We start from the raw sequence: 18,981 nt of genomic DNA, 5'->3' as shown, positions 1-18,981 counted from the left end.
TAGCAGGGAGGGAAGAGAGAGTGTCCATGTACCCCAACCTTGGCTCCCCGTCTCGGTACCTAAAGCAGCTCCTCTGAGATAAGGTAGCCATATTCTCCTCTCAGAAGAAGGTCTGTAAATGGCAGGACACTATGCAGGGAAGGGCTTCTTCTAGACTTTTTCATTATATTTTACATTTTATTGCTGGAAATGTTTTCTTCTTTGCATTAAAAGATTTCAAAATTTTCCCCCAGGCATATATTTAAAGTCTCCGTCCACCCTAACTTTCTTTCCAAGAGGTTAGTATCCTTTGTCATTTACTAAATGTTTTCCTCCCCTGAAGCGTCCTCTCCAGGGACAAGGAGATGTCAGGGCTCCTGTATTTCTGAAGGGCTTTCCCCGTCCACACCTTTCTACAGGTTGCCGTGACTGGAACAAAAAACAAATGGTCAAAAGCTCCATGAAGAGGAACTGGCAGGAACTGAGCCTGGGCTGGACTGAATGCTAACTTTCAATCTGGTCTGGAAAAAGGATTTGGATAGGAAAATTAATTGTAAAAATGAGTAAATTGTCTATCATCTCCCGGCTGAATGAAATAATAGTGTTCTGGAATTACATTATGATTAACAGAGGCTGTCACACAAACTCTGGAGACAGCCCACATCACCCAGCTTAGCACAGAGAAGGTATGAATTAGTGTGCGCTGAATAACCAAATGAATGGACTCTACATGGATTGCTCCATTTTCAAGGAATTAACAGGTGAAAAAAAATCTAACACTAAAAGGAGACCGAAAAATATAAAAGCCTCTTTGGTTCAGAAATGCCATGAAAAGCAATAGATACTGTGAAGAAATATTTGAAGTGGCATGAAATAAAAACTTCCAGTTGCTCAAATATTCTATCAATGTATATTATATCTGATGGTAATTAATAATTATTGATAAGAAAAAATCTATAAAGTTACTTAAACATGTTAATTTTTCAAATGCTAAACATGTTATTAAAAGGTATGGAAAGAACAGTCCAATTATATATTATTAACTGGTTTATTTCCTTTCTAGCACAGATCACTATTAGAAATTGTTTTTTATTTGTTGATTCTCTGACTCTCTAACACTCACCACATTCACCACACACACACACACACACACACACACACACACACAGAGACACCCTAATACTGCCAAAAAGACAGCAATGTGTTAAGTTCCATTCACCACTTTTCTCCAGCCCCGAGTACAGGCATTCTATATTGTGGGCTTACAAACAAATACACACATATATATTTTTTTAACTTATAAATATTTATTGAATGACCGAAGCAATGTTATTTCATATATTACCATTGATTAAAGCTTATTTCACATAATGCAAAGAATGCAAAGGCCAGGTTATCAAAGTAAAACATTTTAATTAATTTATTTATTTATTTGAGATGGAGTTTCACTCTTGTCACCCAGCTGGAGTGCAGTGGCGTGATGTTGGCTCACTGCAACCTCCACCTCCCGGGTTTAAGTGATTCTCCTGCCTCAGTCTCCCAAGTAGCTGAGATTACAGACACCCGCCACCATGCCCAGCTCAAAGTAAAACATTTTGGAACATCTCCCTCCCCACCTCATCCCTCAACCCTTTTCTTTTTAGGATCAAAATACTTAATCCTCTCTTGGGTCCTAGTTTTGTGGAACTTCGTCTCCTCCTAACACAGGACGGCTCCTGGAAAGTCCTGCTCCAAACTCAGTCCCTGCAAGAGAGGCTCACAACAAATGCTTCCTCAGGAGACCTTCTCGCTCCAGGACACCAGACCCCATGCCAGTTAATAAATGAGATCTGACAAGACTTTAATCTGAAGTGGTATTTCCCTCTAAAGTCCCTACTAACCTAAAGTGGAGCCACAGACAACAGGAGGAAAATAGAAGGAAATACTGTGAAAACGAAGAGACTGCCCTTGTTAACAGCACACAGGGGGAAAAATAATTTTTTGGCATTCATTCTATTTCCTAAGACTTCAGATTTAAGCTCAATTTGCCGAGAGAATTGTATCCAAATCTGGGATAACTCCATTTCTTTTATTCGGGTTCAATTTTTCTCCTTCTGGTTTTTATTTTTAGCAGTGCTTCAATTACTTTAAGATGATAATAACCATCAGACATTTTCGATTCTGAATTTATGTAGAACGAGGCCAACAGTTCTCTTTTCAAAGTCTTCAGGAACCCAAACTTTCACAGTCCCACATTCTGCTCCCAAGACATTAACTCTAATTAAGCTAATCAAACCCATGCACAGTCATAAGAATAAAAAGTACTAAAGAACAAGACAACTCTATGAGAAACAGATATTATACAATGAAAATAAAATGAATTCTCCAGACTTCTTTAACTACTGTTCCATTAAATCCATTTATTTTTGAATGAGCTTTGATCTTTTTTCATTTCATAGACCAAGATGTTGTCATTAGAGGAATGAATTACTTCCTTTAAGCTGACCTCATTTATATTCCATACCCAAAGCCAGTCTTACTACAACTGCAATTGAGCCTAATCCAATTACGACAATTTTTATTTCAAAATATAACATGATCCCCCGAACTTGAGAACCAAATGTATTTCAAGGTTCACAAAAAATGCAAGATTTCTATTCGCATGAAAAAATTAGGCAAGATTATTTGTGGGCTGGATTGGAGGGCTGGATTCTGAGAGTTAGAAAAATGGAAATACCATTCCACTCTGTCTCTCAGCAACAACCTCAGCCTGAGGGGTGAGATGTCCTCCTTATCTAGGCAGAGAAGTTCTGGCCTTGACCATCGCCTCCAAATATCTTCATTTATATATTTGTCTTTACTCTCACCTTTTACAAGCCCCACCTCTTCTGCATGCAGCATCTTAATGTCTTCATGTTAGGGAAGTTTTATGGTTCTTTCACCAACCTTTTCTTGTTCTTCTTGTCACCTTTGGTCACGTCTTTTCATCTTCTTTCAAGGCTAGTTTGAGACTGAGCACCCTCCACCCTTTTCCCCATTGGAAAACAGTCTGAGAAGAGACACACAAGATGTCCATGACTCCTTACGGTTGGTTCGACCTGAGTCTTTCACACTGGCTCATGAGAAAACAGCTCATTTTATTTGCTTGGTCTTCCATCCAGGATTGCTATAAGGGTCAAATAAAATGTTTTGTAAACTGAAATCTATAAAGTGCTCTACGCAAGACTGACAAATACTGACATGTATTATTCTGGAGGAATGCCAAGAAGAGGCAGTCACAAGGGCTTTAAGTCTACAGCGCCCCCTGGAGTTGTGCAGTGCACAACCATATGCAGCAGCCCTGGTGTTAGGTAAATGTGTTGTCCTCATGGGTTGATTCAAGAGGCCTAAGCCATAAGGGTTATGGGGAGAATAAGAACAGTAGAAAGCAAAAATAAGAAAGAAAGAAGACATGGAGATAAGAGGCTGGGGGCCGGGCATGGTGTCTCACACCTGTAATCCTAGAATTTGAGAGGCCGAGGTGGGTAGATGGCCTTAGCCGAGGAGTTTGAGACCAGCCTGGGCAACATGGCAAAACTCAATCTCTACAAAAATTGGCTGGGCACGGTGGTACGTGCCTGTGATCCCAGCTACTTGGGAGGCTGAGATGGGAGGTCAAGTCTGCAGTGAGTTGTGATTGTGCCACTGCACTCTGGCCTGGGCAACAGAGTGAGACCCTGTCTCAAAAAAAAAAAAAAAAAAAAGAGGCTGGGGATGTGGTGTAATGTCCAGAAACATGTGTGTGCATGTCCACAGACAAAGATCTAGAAGGATATACACAAACCCTTAACATGAGCTATATCTGGATCATGGGGTGGGGTATGATTTTAACTTTTTGCTTTGTTTTGTTTTTGCTTTTTGTTTTTTTTGAGACAGGGTCTTTCTCTACTTCCCAGGCGGAGTGCAGTTGTATGATCATAGCTCACTGCAGCCTCAAACTCTTGCACTCAAGTGATCCTCCCAGCTCAATGTCCTGAGTAGCTCAGACCACAGGCATGCACCACCACACCTGGCTAGTTTTTCATTTTTTTTGTACAGACGGAGGTCTCACTGTGTGGCCCAGGCTGGTCTCGAACTCCTGGCCTCAAGTGATCCTCCTACTTCGGCCTCCAAAAATGGAGGATTACAGGTGTGAACCACTACACCTAGCCTTATTTTAATTTTTCAACCACAACTTTTATATTTTTCAAGAAGCAATAATAAAAGAAGAAGCTGAGGTGTGGAGAAAAGAGTCCACTAAATTCTGGCTAGGGAGAGAGGATGTAGGAGGAAAACATGCAGAGTTGCATACTTCAATGTCAGACTGACATCCCCATCATACTTCATCATCCACACTTAGGTTCTAGAGACAAGGGCTAGTGATGAGGGGGAGAAACCGAAAAGAATCAATAGGCTCAAGCCAGTGGAATGCTGCCCATGGTTGTTGTTGAGTTAGACACCGCTTACCTGCTCTGACTTTTGGGTTTCATGTTCAGGTGACTGCGGAAGCCAGAGCAGTGAGTAGCATCACTAACGGAATGAATGTAGATGGACAAGAAGACCTCATAGGTTAGATGATTGCACAATGTTCCCTTTGGGGGAGTACAGGGAAAGTATAAGAGCAAGGGTAATCTAAGAGTGAGGAGAGTCATCAATAGATTATTTGATCAACATATATGATGGATACCAAGAGCCGTCAGAAAGAGTTGGTATTATCACAAAGGACTAGAAGTCTATTTGCTCTAATAACCAAAATGTCTAGGGATATCCTAACCCTGCTTTATCCAGCACATCCTGCCCGCACATCATCTGGGTACCATTCAACCCTCTGGTTCCACCCACATCCTTAAAACGTTAAAAATACATATATTTTTATGTAACTGCCTCTTTTGCTGCATATTACAGTTTCATGCTTATTACTGAGAAACTTGGAGCAGGAAAGCTGGAGACCAATTTGATTGCTTTACCAAATATTGCCACTTGTTGCTCTTCAGAAGCAGTAGGTTTGTGGTAATAACTGTAGGAAACATCTCAGGACTCTAGCTCATTCTTGATCCGTGACTCACCACATTGCTTTCCATGTGTGAAGAACTCAGTACTTTTTCTTTTTTTTTTTTTTTCCATGTAATATCTTTTTTTTCTGTGTTTTATTTTATTTATTATTATTATACTTTAAGTTTTAGGGTACATGTGCACAATGTGCAGGCTAGTTACATATGTACATATGTGCCATGCTGGTGTGCTGCACCCATTAACTCGACATTTAGCATTAGGTATATCTCCTAAAGCTATCCCTCCCCACTCCCCCCACCCCACAACAGTCCCCAGAGTGTGATGTTCTCCTTCCTGTGTCCACGTGTTCTCATTGTTCAATTCCCATCTATGAGTGAGAATATGCAGTGTTTGGTTTTTTGTTCTTGCGATAGTTTACTGAGAATGATGATTTCCAATTTCATCCATGTCCCTACAAAGGACATGAACTCATCATTTTTTATGGCTGCATAGTATTGCATGGTGTATATGTGCCACATTTTCTTAATCCAGTCTATCATTGTTGGACATTTGGGTTGGTTCCAAGTCTTTGCTATTGTGAATAGTGCCACAATAAACATACATGTGCATGTGTCTTTATAGCAGCATGATTTATAGTCCTTTGGGTATATACCCAGTAATGGGATGGCTGGGTCAAATGGTATTTCTAGTTCTAGATCCCTGAGGAATCGCCACACTGACTTCCACAATGGTCGAACTAGTTTACAGTCCCACCAACAGTGTAAAAGTGTTCCTATTTCTCCACATCCTCTCCAGCACCTGTTGTTTCCTGACTTTTTAATGATTGCCATTCTAACTGGTGTGAGATGGTATCTCATTGTGGTTTTGATTTGCATTTCTCTGATGGCCAGTGATGATGAGCATTTTTTCATGTGTTTTTTGGCTGCATAAATGTCTTCTTTTGAGAAGTGTCTGTTCATGTCCTCTGCCCACTTTTTGATGGGGTTGTTTGTTTTTTTCTTGTAAATTTGTTTGAGTTCATTGTAGATCCTGGATATTAGCCCTTTGTCAGATGAGTAGGATGTGAAAATTTTCTCCCATTCTGTAGGTTGCCTGTTCACTCTGATGGTAGTTTCTTTTGCTGTGCAGAAGCTCTTTAGTTTAATGAGATCCCATTTGTCAATTTTGACTTTTGTTGCCATTGCTTTTGGTGTTTTAGACATGAAGTCCTTGCCCATGCCTATGTCCTGAATGGTAATGCCTAGGTTTTCTTCTAGGGTTTTTATGGTTTTAGGTCTAACGTTTAAGTCTTTAATCCATCTTGAATTAATTTTTGTATAAGGTATAAGGAAAGGATCCAGTTTCAGCTTTCTACATATGGCTAGCCAGTTTTCCCAGCACCATTTATTAAATAGGGAATCCTTTCCCCATTGCTTGTTTTTCTCAGGTTTGTCAAAGATCAGATAGTTGTAGATATGCGGTGTTATTTCTGAGGGCTCTGTCCTGTTCCATTGATCTATATCTCTGTTTTGGTACCAGTACCACACTGTTTTGTTTACTGTAAGCCTTGTAATATAGTTTGAAGTCAGGTAGCGTGATGCCTCCAGGTTTGTTCTTTTGGCTTAGGATTGACTTGGCAATGCGGGCTCTTTTTTGGTGCCATATGAACTTTAAAGTAGTTTTTTCCAATTCTGTGAAGAAAGTCATTGGTAGCTTGATGGGGATGGCATTGAATCTATAAATTACCTTGGGCAGTATGGCCATTTTCACGATATTGATTCTTCCCATCCATGAGCATGGAATGTTCTTCCATTTGTTTGTGTCCTTTTTTATTTCATTGAGGAGTGGTTTGTAGTTCTACTTGAAGAGGTCCTTCACATCCCTTGTAAGTTGGATTCCTAGGTATTTTATTCTCTTTGAAGCAATTGTGAATGGGAGTTCACTCATGATTTGGCTCTCTGTTTGTCTCTTCTTGATGTATAAGAATGCTTGTGATTTTTGCACATTGATTTTGTATCCTGAGACTTTGCTGAAGTTGCTTTTCAGCTTAAGGAGATTTTGGGCTGAGACAATGGGGTTTTCTAGATATACAATCATGTCGTCTGCAAACAGGGACAATTTGACTTCCTCTTTTCCTAATTGAATACCCTTTATTTCTTTCTCCTGCCTAATTGCCCTGGCCAGAACTTCCAACACTATGTTGAATAGGAGTGGTGAGAGAGGGCATCCCTGTCTTGTGCCAGTTTTCAAAGGGAATGCTTGCAGTTTTTGCCCATTCCGTATGATATTGGCTGTGGGTTTGTCATAGATAGCTCTTATTATTTTGAAATACGTCCCATCAATACCTAATTTATTGAGAGTTTTTAGCATGAAAGGTTGTTGAATTCTGTCAAAGGCCTTTTCTGCATCTATTGAGATAATCATGTGATTTTTGTCATTGGTTCTGTTTATATGCTGGATTACATTTATTGATTTGCGTATATTGAACCAGTCTTGCATCCCAGGGATGAAGCCCACTTGATCATGGTGGATAAGCTTTTTGATGTGCTGCTGGACTCCGTTTGCCAGTATTTTATTGAGGACTTTTGCATTAATGTTCATCAGGGATATTGGTCTAAAATTCTCTTTTTTGGTTGTGTCTCTGCCTGGCTTTGGTATCAGGATGATGCTGGCCTCATAAAATGAGTTAGGGAGGATTCCCTCTTTTTCTATTGATGGGAATAGTTTCAGAAGGAATGGTACCAGTTCCTCCTTGTACCTCTGGTAGAATTCAGCTGTGAATCCATCTGGTCCTGGACTCTTTTTGGTTAGTAAGCTATTGATTATTGCCACAATTTCAGAGCCTGTTATGGGTCTATTCAGAGATTCAACTTCTTCCTGGTTTAGTCTTGGGAGGGTGTATGTGTCGAGGAATTTATCCATTTCTTCTAGATTTTCTAGTTTATTTGCGTAGAGGTGTTTGTAGTATTCTCTGATGGTAGTTTGTATTTACTTTTTCTAAAGGCTTTCTAGTCTCTCATGTTGCTTTAAACTTGGAGCAATCCTGAAAGACAAGGTCAGTAATTCATGCCCATTTGAGAAACATCACCACTGAGGTCCTCTCCATGGTTGTAATTAGTGAGAGGCATAGCTGAAACAAGAACCCAAGAAGAACCCAAGATTCTGAATTTTGTTTTGTTTTTTTTTTTTTTTTTTTAAGACAGTGTCTTGCTCTGTCACCCAGGCTAGGGTGCAGTGGGATGATCATAGCTAACTGCAGCCTCAAACTCCCGAGCTCAAGTGACCTTCCCACCTCACTCTCCTGAGTAACTGGGACTACAGAGGTGTACCACTACTCCTGGCTAGTGTGTGTGTGTGTGTGTGTGTGTGTATGTGTGAAGACGGGGTTTCACTATGTTGCCCAGGCTGGTCTTGAACTCCTGGTCTCAAGTGATCCACATGCCTTGGCCTCTGCAAGTGCTGGGATTCCAGGCATGAGCCACAGAACCCTGCCTGAAATTTTTATCTAGCATATTTGACTGGTTAGGAGCACAGGCTCTGAGCCAAGCCACTTAGGTGTGATTCTAACATCGCCCCACACTGGTAAGTTGTGTGTTCACAAGCAAAGTATTTAGCTGCTTTGTGATTCAGTTTCCTCATTTTAAAAATGGGATGTTGCAGGTTAAATTGTGTTCCTCCAAAAGATGTGTTCAAGTCCTGACATGAGCTATCTGTGAATGTGACCTTATTTGAAAGTAGGGTCTTTGTAGATGAAATCAAGTTAAGATGAGGTCATGCTGCATTACGGTAGATCTTAACCCAATGATGACATGCTTATAAAAAGAGGTAGTTTTGGCCGGGCGCGGTGGCTCACGCCTGTAATCCCAGCACTTTGGGAGGCCGAGGCAGGTGGATCAAGAGGTCAGGAGTTCAAGACCAGCCTGGCCAAGACAGTGAAACCCCGTCTCTACTAAAAATACAAAAAATTAACTGGGCGTGGTGGTGGGCGCCTGTAATCCCAGCTACTCGGGAGGCTGAGGCAGGGAATTGCTTGAACCTGGGAGGCAGAGGTTGCAGTGAGCCAAGATCGTGCCACTGCACTCCAGCCTGGGCAACAGAGCAAAACTCCATCTCAAAAAAAAAAAAAAAAAAAAAAAAGAGGTAGTTTTGTACCCAGACATACAGAGAGGAGACTTCCAGAAAATACACAGGCAGAGGAGAGGAGGCCAGGTGATGATGGAGGCAGAGACTGGAATGATTCAGCTGCAAGCCAAGCAATGCCAAGGTCTGCCAACAAACACTGAAAGCTAGAACAGGGCAAAAGAAAAAGTTATAGAGAGTAGGGCCCCACACCTTGATTTCTGACTCCTGAAGAGTGAAAGAATAAACTGCTGTTGCTCTGAGCCAGCTGGTTTGCAGTAATTTGTTATGGCAGGCCTAGGAGACAAACGCATGGGATAATCACATTTCCTGCCTTTGGGAGATCATGTTATTCCTCAATACTTTTGTTCTCCTTCTTGACAGGATGATACACTCTTGCCTATTAGATTTCATACTTAGCTATATTTTTTGCTTTTGCCAATGAAATGTTGGTGAAAGTGAGATGTGCCACTTCCAAGGAGAAGTTTTAAGAGCCTCATGTGGTTCTGTCATCTTATCTTTCCCCTCTCCCAGGAGACACCCAATCCTCAGATAGGGGCTTCTCCTTCAGCCTGGGTTTCCAGATGATGATAACATGGAGCACAGTTGAGGCTGACCTGTTATGAGCATTAACGTGAGCAAAAAATAAATTTCTGTTGTTATAAGCCACTGACATTTGGGAATGTTTGTTACAGAAGCATAACTTAGCCTAAAGTGACTGATATACTACCTCATAAAATGTTATGAGCACTAGATATCATGATGCTTGTAAAATACAATGCTGGACATATTAATATTATTTAAGCACCATTACTGTCTTCTTAACTCCAACAGGGCATTGCAATCACTGAGTGTCTATTATGTGTCTGGATAACGTATTTGGTTGAGGGATGGGCATGTGACTAGTGTTGGATGAATTTACCATCATTCTTTGCACTTCCCTGGAATACTCTTTTTGGAAGAAAGGAAAGTGTGACCTGTGTTCCTAGCTGGTTCCTAGCTGTGACATATGCTTGACATTTGTGAGGAGTATCTTTTCCACTATGAGGGAAGAATCTAGCTGAAAATGAAGACAGTATATAGAAGAGAAGATGTTACAGTTAGAGAAAGATGAGAAGCAAAAAGGAGTCCTGTTGACATCATTTAAGCCCCTTGGGTCCAGCCATGCTCAGTCAGAGGCACCTTAGGACTTCCAGTTACATGAGCCAATACTTTGCCATTTTTCCTAAACTGCTTTGAGTTGGGCTTCTATTAACAGGCAGTGTTGACCACTGGAGAATCATCCCAATTCCCTGCCACCAGTTGCTTGTTCTTTAAGGGCAGAAGGTGTGGCTCATTCATTGATATCGTTCCTGCAGCTCTCAGCACAGTGAATGGCACATATGGGAGTGCATTGTGTTTGGAAATTTATGCAGACAGTTTAGGCACTTAAGGAGAATATTGGTCTCTATATAAACACAGCCCACAGAGGAAGTTGTAACTTATGCTACGGAACTGTCCTCAGGAGATAACAGATAATGAATATTTGAAAAATTATTATTTGTAAAAATCTGAATACTTAAGAAGAAAAGCTTAAAATTAAGAGCAATAATTAATCACGTACAAAGCATTTCTAAAAAATCTGTCTAACCTCTCTGAATCTGTTTCTTCATCCGTCAAATGGGATAATATTAACAACTTTTCCATCTACCTGGGGACCCAATGATATGATACTTGCAAAATATACACAGATTTTTATGGCAACTTGTACAGTGCCACACAAAAAGTAGCCACTGTTATCAAACATTCATAGCTAAAAACACACTATTCAGACTGAACAAGTCTTGCTGAATGTATTAGTCCATTTTCACACGCTGTAAATACATACCCAAGACTGTGTAATTTATAAAGAAAACAGGTTTAATTGACTCACAGTTCCACATGGTTGGGGAGGCCTCAGGAAATTTACAATCATGATGGAAGGCAAAGGGGCAGCAAGAACCTTCTTCACATGGCGGCAGGAGAGAGAAGAGCATGTGAGAGTGCTAGAAATACTACCTTTTATAAAACCATCAGATACCCTGAGAATTCACTCACTATCATGAGAACAGCATGGGGAGACCACCCCCATAATCCAATCACTTCCCTCCCTCAACACATGGGGATTACAATTCAAGATGAGGTTTGGGTGGGGACTTAATATCACTGAACTCTCTGGGGACAAAGAATTGGGGTAATGGCGTGATTCCACTTGAGACCTGAAGGCTTTTTCTACTGGTATAAGCAAAAGACCCAATTTATCACAGCAAATAAGAACATTAATGTTACATTAACCATAAGAGAAGACTGGCCAAAATCAAGATAAAATATGAACGGGGAGCCACACTCCCAGAAATCACAAAAAGCCACCTACTACACTGACAACAAAGAGTCAAATGCAGCAGACCTGGAAGCCAAACACACAAAACAGAGCACACAGGCAACTGTGGTGAGAGCACACAGGCAGGCAGCGGGACCACAGCCACCCCTCCATGGTATATGGATACAGTTAGAGCAGTCTGAAAGACTTGGAACATTTTCCTATGGCAAACGTTCTTTTCCTCCCCTACCTGGACATTCCCCTTCCATCCTCGCTCTTTTGTGATCAACATTCCATACAGCAGCCATGAAGATCTTTAAAAAAACAAAAACAAAATCCTATTTCTGCATTGCCTAGAACTTCTGAGGGTTTCTTATCACAATTAGAATCACATCCCAACTCCTTACTGTGGTCTATGAAGCTCCAAGTAATCTGGCCCCTGCCACATCACTGACTTTCCTTTGCCTAACCTGGTGGCCACACTGGCTTCTCCCCAGTTCTTCAGACCCAGCAGCTCCATCCTGCCTCAAGACCTTTGTGCTTGCTGTTCCACCTGCCAGGATGTACTGAACCGAGAGCCTGCACTGCTCATTTCTTTCTGTCATTTAGATCTCACTCAGTGCCGCCTCTGTGAGGCCTTCTCTGACCACCTGATTTATTGATTTATTGACCCAAGTTTATTTTTGTAGAGATGAGGTCTCACTATGTTGCCCAGGCTGGTCTCAAACTCATGGGCTCAAACGATCCTCCTGCCTCAGCCTCCTGAAGTGTTGAGATTGCAGGCATGAGCCACCACACCCGGTCCCTGACCACTTGATTTAATATTGTCACCCCTTACATCCCTCTATCTTATTTCTAGTTTTATGTCAATAATCCCTGCTTGACATTGTGGCCTTGTTATATGTGTATATACACAGACACGTATATGTACATACATGTACGTATGTATGTATACACATGCACATAATATACATGTGCATGTATGCATATTTTTCCCAAAACTAAAAATCAAGTTTCATGAATACAATGTTGGGCCTGTGTTCTTGTCTCGCCCACTGCTGTATTCTCAATGCCTGGAAGTGTCTGACCCATAGTAAATTCTCAATAAATATTTATGAAATGAGAGAGTAAACTTTTCCCAGTCTCTACTCATGCTTGATTTCTGTATTTGCAGTCCTTGCTTCTCCCTATCTTCCAATTTAGTATCAACGGATCCCAGGATTGGAAAGGATCTTGTCATGTCTGTTCTCCCACTCTTAGGCAGGACTATGCTTGAGCCATTTCTGAGAGAAAAGAGTTTTCTCAGTTGATAGACAGGCTGAGTGGTGCAAGACCCACCAGAGAGGAAGTTTCATTGATGTTGTTAATATTTCTGTGCTTTTCTAAGTAGAAACTAGAAGTAAGTCTCATTATGTGACAAGTATAACTAGTAGGTTTCAATCCCAGTGCCAACTCTGAGAGATTAGTTGTATCTGCCTGAAGTGATGTGTTGAGGAATTGTAGGCTCCTATGAGCTAATTAAAAAAAATACCTGAGATTGATTTGTGTGGGCATAGGACAAAGGATATAAAAGTGGTGGCATTATGTATTTGCAGCTCATAAAAACACAAAGTTTTCTTTTGACCAATGTCCAGACCATCTATGATTCACTTTGGCAATGTCACTAAAAGAATGAGGGTGAGAGAGCTGGGTCACTGCTCTCTCTATGCCCCAGCATAAAGCACCGTAACTATCTCTTACTTCCCTAATAATCTACAAACGCGCTTGAATGTGTCTCATAACTTCCCAAACTGAGAAGTTTCAAGCGAAGTCTGTAATTGAATATCTGATGGATGAGGCAAGAAAAATCACCTAAGACAAGTGACAAATAAACGCCCATCCATGAAAATTACATTCTTACTTGAAATAATAGACTCTAGGTCTCTGAGAATGTTTCTGAAGGTCAGGCCTTCATGTATAGGTTGACATGTCTTTTCTTGGACTCATATCTTCCGTCTCTTCCTACACATATCAACCTGGAAGTTGTTTGGGCGATTCAAACTCAGCATGCCCAAAACAAAATTCAATTGTATTTTTTTGTTCCTGCAAAACTCAAAAGCTGTGTTACTTCCTGTCTTCCCTATTCATCCAGTAAATATTTCCTTAGTGCCTTTCTATGTGCCATGTACCATTCTAGGCACGGGGCCATGGAGGTGAACAGTACAGAGGAGGTCACTGCTCTTACAGACAAGATTACCAGATTATACAATGCAGGAGGCAGCAATTGCATTGTGTTCTTTGTGATTAGTGTCCTTGGAATTGCACAACATACTGACCCTTCTCATGGAGCATAACTTCTAGATGGGAATATAGGAAATAAGTGTGTGTATAATAAGAAGAAACAATCTTTTCAGATAGTGATAAGCATTATGCAGAAAATAAAGGGGTAAGTAGAGAGCATTGGGGCACATTAGATGGGGGTGGGGGAGCCAGAGAAGGAAAAACGTGTTTGAAGAAATGACCAGAACAGACCTGAATCATGACAAGGAGTCAGTCATGTGAAGATCAGGCAGAGCATTTGCCACAGAGAAATCTACAGGTGCAATATCTGGAAGGTGGCAAGAAGCCTGATTGGTAGAGAAACAGACTGGAGAGGCCTTGGTTGAAGGTAATGAGTCAACCTTGGTTGAAGGTAATGTTCTCCTGCCGGGGAACATTGGCAGGAGATGAGGCCTGAAAGCAGGGACCACATCAGGATGGAATGGGGAGGCCCCAGTGAGGAATTTGGCTTCTATTCTAGGCCTATGGGAAGCCATGGGGGGTCTTGGGCAGGGAGTTGCAGGATCACTGTCTCAGTTGGCATCTCTATTCACCCAGTTGCCCAACCTTGAACCTTAGTTCCCTCTCTTTCATCGGAGTGGTCAACAAGCCTTGCTTATGCCCTCCCTTTAAATGGCTCCCAAATTATCCCCTTTCATTTTAACCCCCGTGCCCTGGTTCTTTCTCACCTGAAATTTCCCACGATATCTTCCTGCTCCAGCCTCTCCCAGGACTCTCCTTGGCATTGCCACCCACACTAAGGCCCCTAAAGCCCCCTGCCTAGAAATTTCGGCTGGGTCACCACTGCCCACTGGGTAAGCTTCAAATCTGAGCATCACTCACACTTTCTGGCCTCTCTCCCATCCCTAACACACCTCATGCTTCTAGGTTCACTGAAGTCCTTGCTTTGTATAAAACATTATTATGATTATTATTTTTTTTGAGACAGGGTCTTACTCTGTCATCCAGGGTGGAGTGCAGTGGTGTTATCATGGCACACTATAGCCTCAACTTCCTGGACTCAGGTGATTCTCCCGTCTCAGCTTCCCAAGTAGCTGGGACTACAGGTGCACGCCTCCAAGTCTGGCTAATGTTTTGCATTTCTTTGTAGAGGCAGGTTCTCGACATGTTTTTCAGGCTGTTCTCAAACTCCTGGACTCAAGTGATCCTCCTGCCTCAGATTTCCAAAGTGATGGGATTACAGGTGTGAGCCTCTGTACCTGGTCAGAAACATTCTTTACGTGTTTATATGTATAGGTGCTCTTCCATCTCCCTGGAATGCCATTCTCTATGCTGCCTCTTCAGAAAAGACCTCTGATTTCATCATGTGGATCTCTGTGTTGACACAGAACTTGGTATATGTCTGTGGAGGCACCTGTCAAGTTGAGATCAGAGTGCTCTAGGCACAGGCCAATACCCTCTCTCTCGAAAGCTCCTGAAAGCAGAGATCATGGCTTGTATCTGTGAGACTGGCAGAGACATGCAGATGCCCATGAAATACTGAACCGAAGAAAGCCATTCCATGACCCACAGAGACCCCTGCAGAGAGAAGGGAGGACACATACCATTTTCTATGGTGTCTGGGAGTGACCACCCTGGGTACAGCATCCAGCAGTCTGTCCAAGATGATCAGCTGCCCATCTAGAGTCCAGGCAAGTAGGTGATGCTGCCTCTCTTCCTCGGCATCTCCAGAACCCATCAAGTTTAATCAGCCTGTAACAACAATATAAAAAGGACTAGATAATTAGTAACCAGTCACCAGGCCACTTGTCAAGTCAAGCTAATGACAAGGTTAGTTTAACAGCACACATCTGGGTAGAGAGATACTAGCCTCATGTAGATGCCTGTTCCCACCATCCAAAAAGGAGAGTTAAGCAAGTCTGTAGTCACTCATATGATCAGATCCTGGAGGGACCCCAAATCCATACATGAGAAGAAACTCAACAAAGCAGGCAGTGGAACTCAGAATGCTAATCTACACTCTTAAATTTCTGCCTTTTTTCTTTTTTACGACCTACATAAAACATCATCTAGAGCTCAGAGTGAACGCTTATTGGTAAATGATGATTACATACATTATAATAATAATCAATATTTACTCAGTAAGAGCCTGGACAGAATGATAAAAATGAAAATAAGCTGCCTAAACTCACTATACTTAAATCTAATGGGGCAGGAGATATGTAATACAGAGTGTTACAGCCCGAAAAGGATCTCAGAGAAGATCTACTCAAAACCTGCTTGTTTAGATATGGGGAAACTGAGGCTCAGATAGAGAAAGAGACTGGCCTATGGTCACTCAACTTGCTGGCAACAAGATAAAGACTAGAACTTAGGCACATAAGTAACCCCAAAACAAGGTGGGAGGAGCAAAGAGCCACCAGGCAGAGAAGGAACATGAGAACAAGGCCAAGAAGGTGGAGAGATTTATTCCATTCAGAAGGAGGAGGTTACTGGGAAGAACAAGCGTGTGAACAAGGCCTTGAAGGATGGACAGGATTCTGTTCAGTTTCAGGGAGGATACTCCCAGGCAGAGGGACTGGTGATCAAAGCACAGGAGAAGCAGAGAAAAGGCCAGTTCTGGGGATCCCAGGAATGTGCTCTGCGTGTGAGCTGGCCAGATGAGCTGATGCACAGAAGCACACCTCAATTTCCCATCCTAACCATCATCCTCTCTGGCTTGGACTTTTTCTTCACTTTTGGCCCTTATGGTACATTCTTCACCTTCCAGCCCGTGTGATCTTTTAAAAACATAAATTAAGTCACACAATTCTCCTGATTAAAATTCCCAAATGTTTTTCACTATGCTTAGTGTAAAATCCCAATTTTTTTCATTGCCTATGATATTCTATGTAAAATGCCATCTCTGAGCGTTGACTCAACTTACACCAGGCTCTCTTCACTCACAACATTCTTCCCTCCAAATCTTTCTGTTCCTCAGATTTGCAAAGCTCATTCTCATCTCATGTCTCTGCACACACTGTTTTCTGTGCATGCAAATCTTTACCTATAGACCTTTACAGGGGTGGCTCCTTCTGAGTTCGGCTCAAAGATCAAGCGTTCAATGAAACTATTCCTCTGGTGGCATGGACTTCCCCTTTCCTGCCTCCCGTCGCTCTGTGGGGACCTTGTGCTGTTTTATTTTCTTTGTGGAATTTGCCGAGCTGTAACTCAAATCCATTAACTACTTCAGGACAATGATTATTCAATAAGTTGGACTGGGGAAATTCATTACCTACATGAAAAAAAAAATTAAAATTAGGTCCCTGCCTCATACTATATGTCAAAATCCCCAGGCAGATTAACCATGCTAAATATAAAAGGCAAAATATTAATGCTTTTTGGAGAAAATGCATAAAAATGTCTTTATGACTACTGGGTGGGAACAATTTTCTTATGCAAGACCAGTAATAATAATGGTAATAGTAAATAACTACAGAGTAAAAGATTAACAAACTTGACTACATTAAAATTAAGAAATCCCATTCATCAGAAAAAAAAGAGTTAAAAAAAATCCACAAACTGGGAGAATATAATTTCCAGACAATCAATCAATAATCAGTCAATAAAAGTTTAATTATTTGAATACTTACAGATCTCTTGAAAATTAAGATATTAAAAAATAATTCAGCCAGGAGTGGTGGCTTACGCCTGTAATCCCAGCACTTTGGGAGGCCCGAGGTGGGCAGATCAGGAGGTCAAGAGATTGAAACCATCGTGGCCAACATGGTGAAACCTCATCTCTACTAAAAATACAAAAATTAGCTGGGCGTGGTGGCACTCACCTGTAATCCCAGCTACTCAGGAGGCTGAGGCAGGAGAATCACTTGAACCCGGGAGGCGGAGGTTGCAGTGAGCCGAGATCATGCCACTGCACTCCAGCCTGGCAACAGTATGAGACTCTGTCTCAAAATAAATAAATAAATTAATTAATTAAATAAAATAAAAATAATTCAATAGAAAATTGGCAAAAGACAAAGTGACACAAATAGAAACTTCACCAAGAAGGAAATGTGATTGAAAACTAGAGAAGTTTACCATGAGTGCTCAACCCTAGTGGGAAAAAGGGAAAGATAAATGATCAGCATCATGAAAATCACTCATTTTTGTACCACTAGATTGGCAAAATGTTAATAAAATCTGGCAATGTCAAGTTTTGGTGAGGATGTAAAGCAGCAGGAACTCAAATATCAGCATGGGACTATATGTTAAAATAACTACTTCAGTAACACAATTTAGCATCATTGTATAAAGTTAGAAAGGGTCATATGATAAGACCTAAAAATTTATCTCTTGGTCTCTACTTAGAGAAATTGTTGCATGTATGATCCACAGGACATGTCTATCAATATTTGCAACAGCTTTGTTTAAAATTGCTTAAACGGGAACTCATCTAAATGCCTATACACAGATGGTTAAATAAATGATGAATGCTCATAAAATGAAATATTACTCTGTAGCAGGAGTGAATAAGCTACAGGTACACATGCCAAGGAGGATGAACTCCAGACATAAAATTGAATTTTAAAAAATTGCAGAAGAAAACACACGAAATAATCCTGCTTTTATAAAATACACAGAGAAGGAAAACTAAAAATATATAAATTTTGAAATATATACACATGCAGTAAAACTATAAAGAAAAGCAAGTCTGAGCACAGTGTCTCACACCTGTAATCCCAGCACTTTGGGAGACTGAGACAAGAGGATCTCTGGAGCCCAGGAGTTCAAGACCCACCTGGGCAACGAAGGCCACAAAAAAAATAAAAAATAAAATAGCTAGGCATGGTGGCATGCAACTATGGTCCCAGCTACTCAGGGGGCTGAGGTGGGAGGATCACTTGAGCCAGAGAGTTCGATGCTGTAGTGAGCCATGTTCACGCTGCTGCACTCCAGCCTAGACAACAGAGGGAGACTGTCTCAAAAAAAAAGAAAAAGAAAGAAAATATTTATTTTTCAAAATTAGAAGAAATGAAGTGACATAAGAGATTGGTCTCACAATAATATGAAGGGGAAGAAAGTAGGAGAGTAGGCATGAAACAAACGTGGCCAGGAGTTACCAGCTGCTGAAGCTGGGTGATGAACACTTGGGAACCCATCAAATATTTTCTCTACTTTCATATGGGCCTGAACTTTCCCAACATTTAAAATGATCTCTATTTATTTTTAAGTGTGTGTGTGTGTGTGTGTGTCTGAAGGGATGTACATATTTTGATTATTTTTTTTGAGATAGAGTCTCACTCTGTTGCCCAAGCTGG

General features: G+C 41.2%; 1 long non-coding RNA gene across 2 annotated transcripts, besides 2 other annotated features; it reads right to left on the bottom strand.

Moving 5' to 3' along the window:
- Positions 1–1,264: 1,264 nt before the first annotated feature.
- Positions 1,265–17,629, bottom strand: LOC105371256 (uncharacterized). 2 transcript variants are annotated; one of them, XR_933559.3, is made up of 4 exons: positions 17,509–17,550; positions 16,731–16,958; positions 15,289–15,436; positions 1,265–3,124 (listed from the first exon to the last, which is right to left on the bottom strand). It is a non-coding gene; the product is annotated as an uncharacterized LOC105371256 (long non-coding RNA). The 2 variants fall into 2 exon arrangements; XR_933560.3 differs by lacking the exon at positions 1,265–3,124 and adding an exon at positions 11,188–11,739 and having other exon boundaries at positions 17,509–17,629.
- Positions 18,044–18,213: an enhancer, noted in NCBI's record as "experimental_43384 CRE fragment used in MPRA reporter constructs". NCBI's record gives its function as "activates a minimal promoter by MPRAs in K562 erythroleukemia cells, with activity observed for both the introgressed and non-introgressed 16:51395325 variant alleles {active_cell/tissue: K562}" and the evidence as "EXISTENCE:reporter gene assay evidence [ECO:0000049][PMID:34662402]".
- Positions 18,669–18,838: an enhancer, noted in NCBI's record as "experimental_43383 CRE fragment used in MPRA reporter constructs". NCBI's record gives its function as "activates a minimal promoter by MPRAs in K562 erythroleukemia cells, with activity observed for both the introgressed and non-introgressed 16:51394700 variant alleles {active_cell/tissue: K562}" and the evidence as "EXISTENCE:reporter gene assay evidence [ECO:0000049][PMID:34662402]".

The sequence above is a fragment of the Homo sapiens genome, chromosome 16 (genome assembly GCF_000001405.40).
Source record: "Homo sapiens chromosome 16, GRCh38.p14 Primary Assembly".
Classification (NCBI taxonomy): Eukaryota; Metazoa; Chordata; class Mammalia; order Primates; family Hominidae; genus Homo; species Homo sapiens.
Note: the sequence above shows the minus strand (reverse complement) of the source record. Positions and strands in the feature narration are given on the sequence as shown.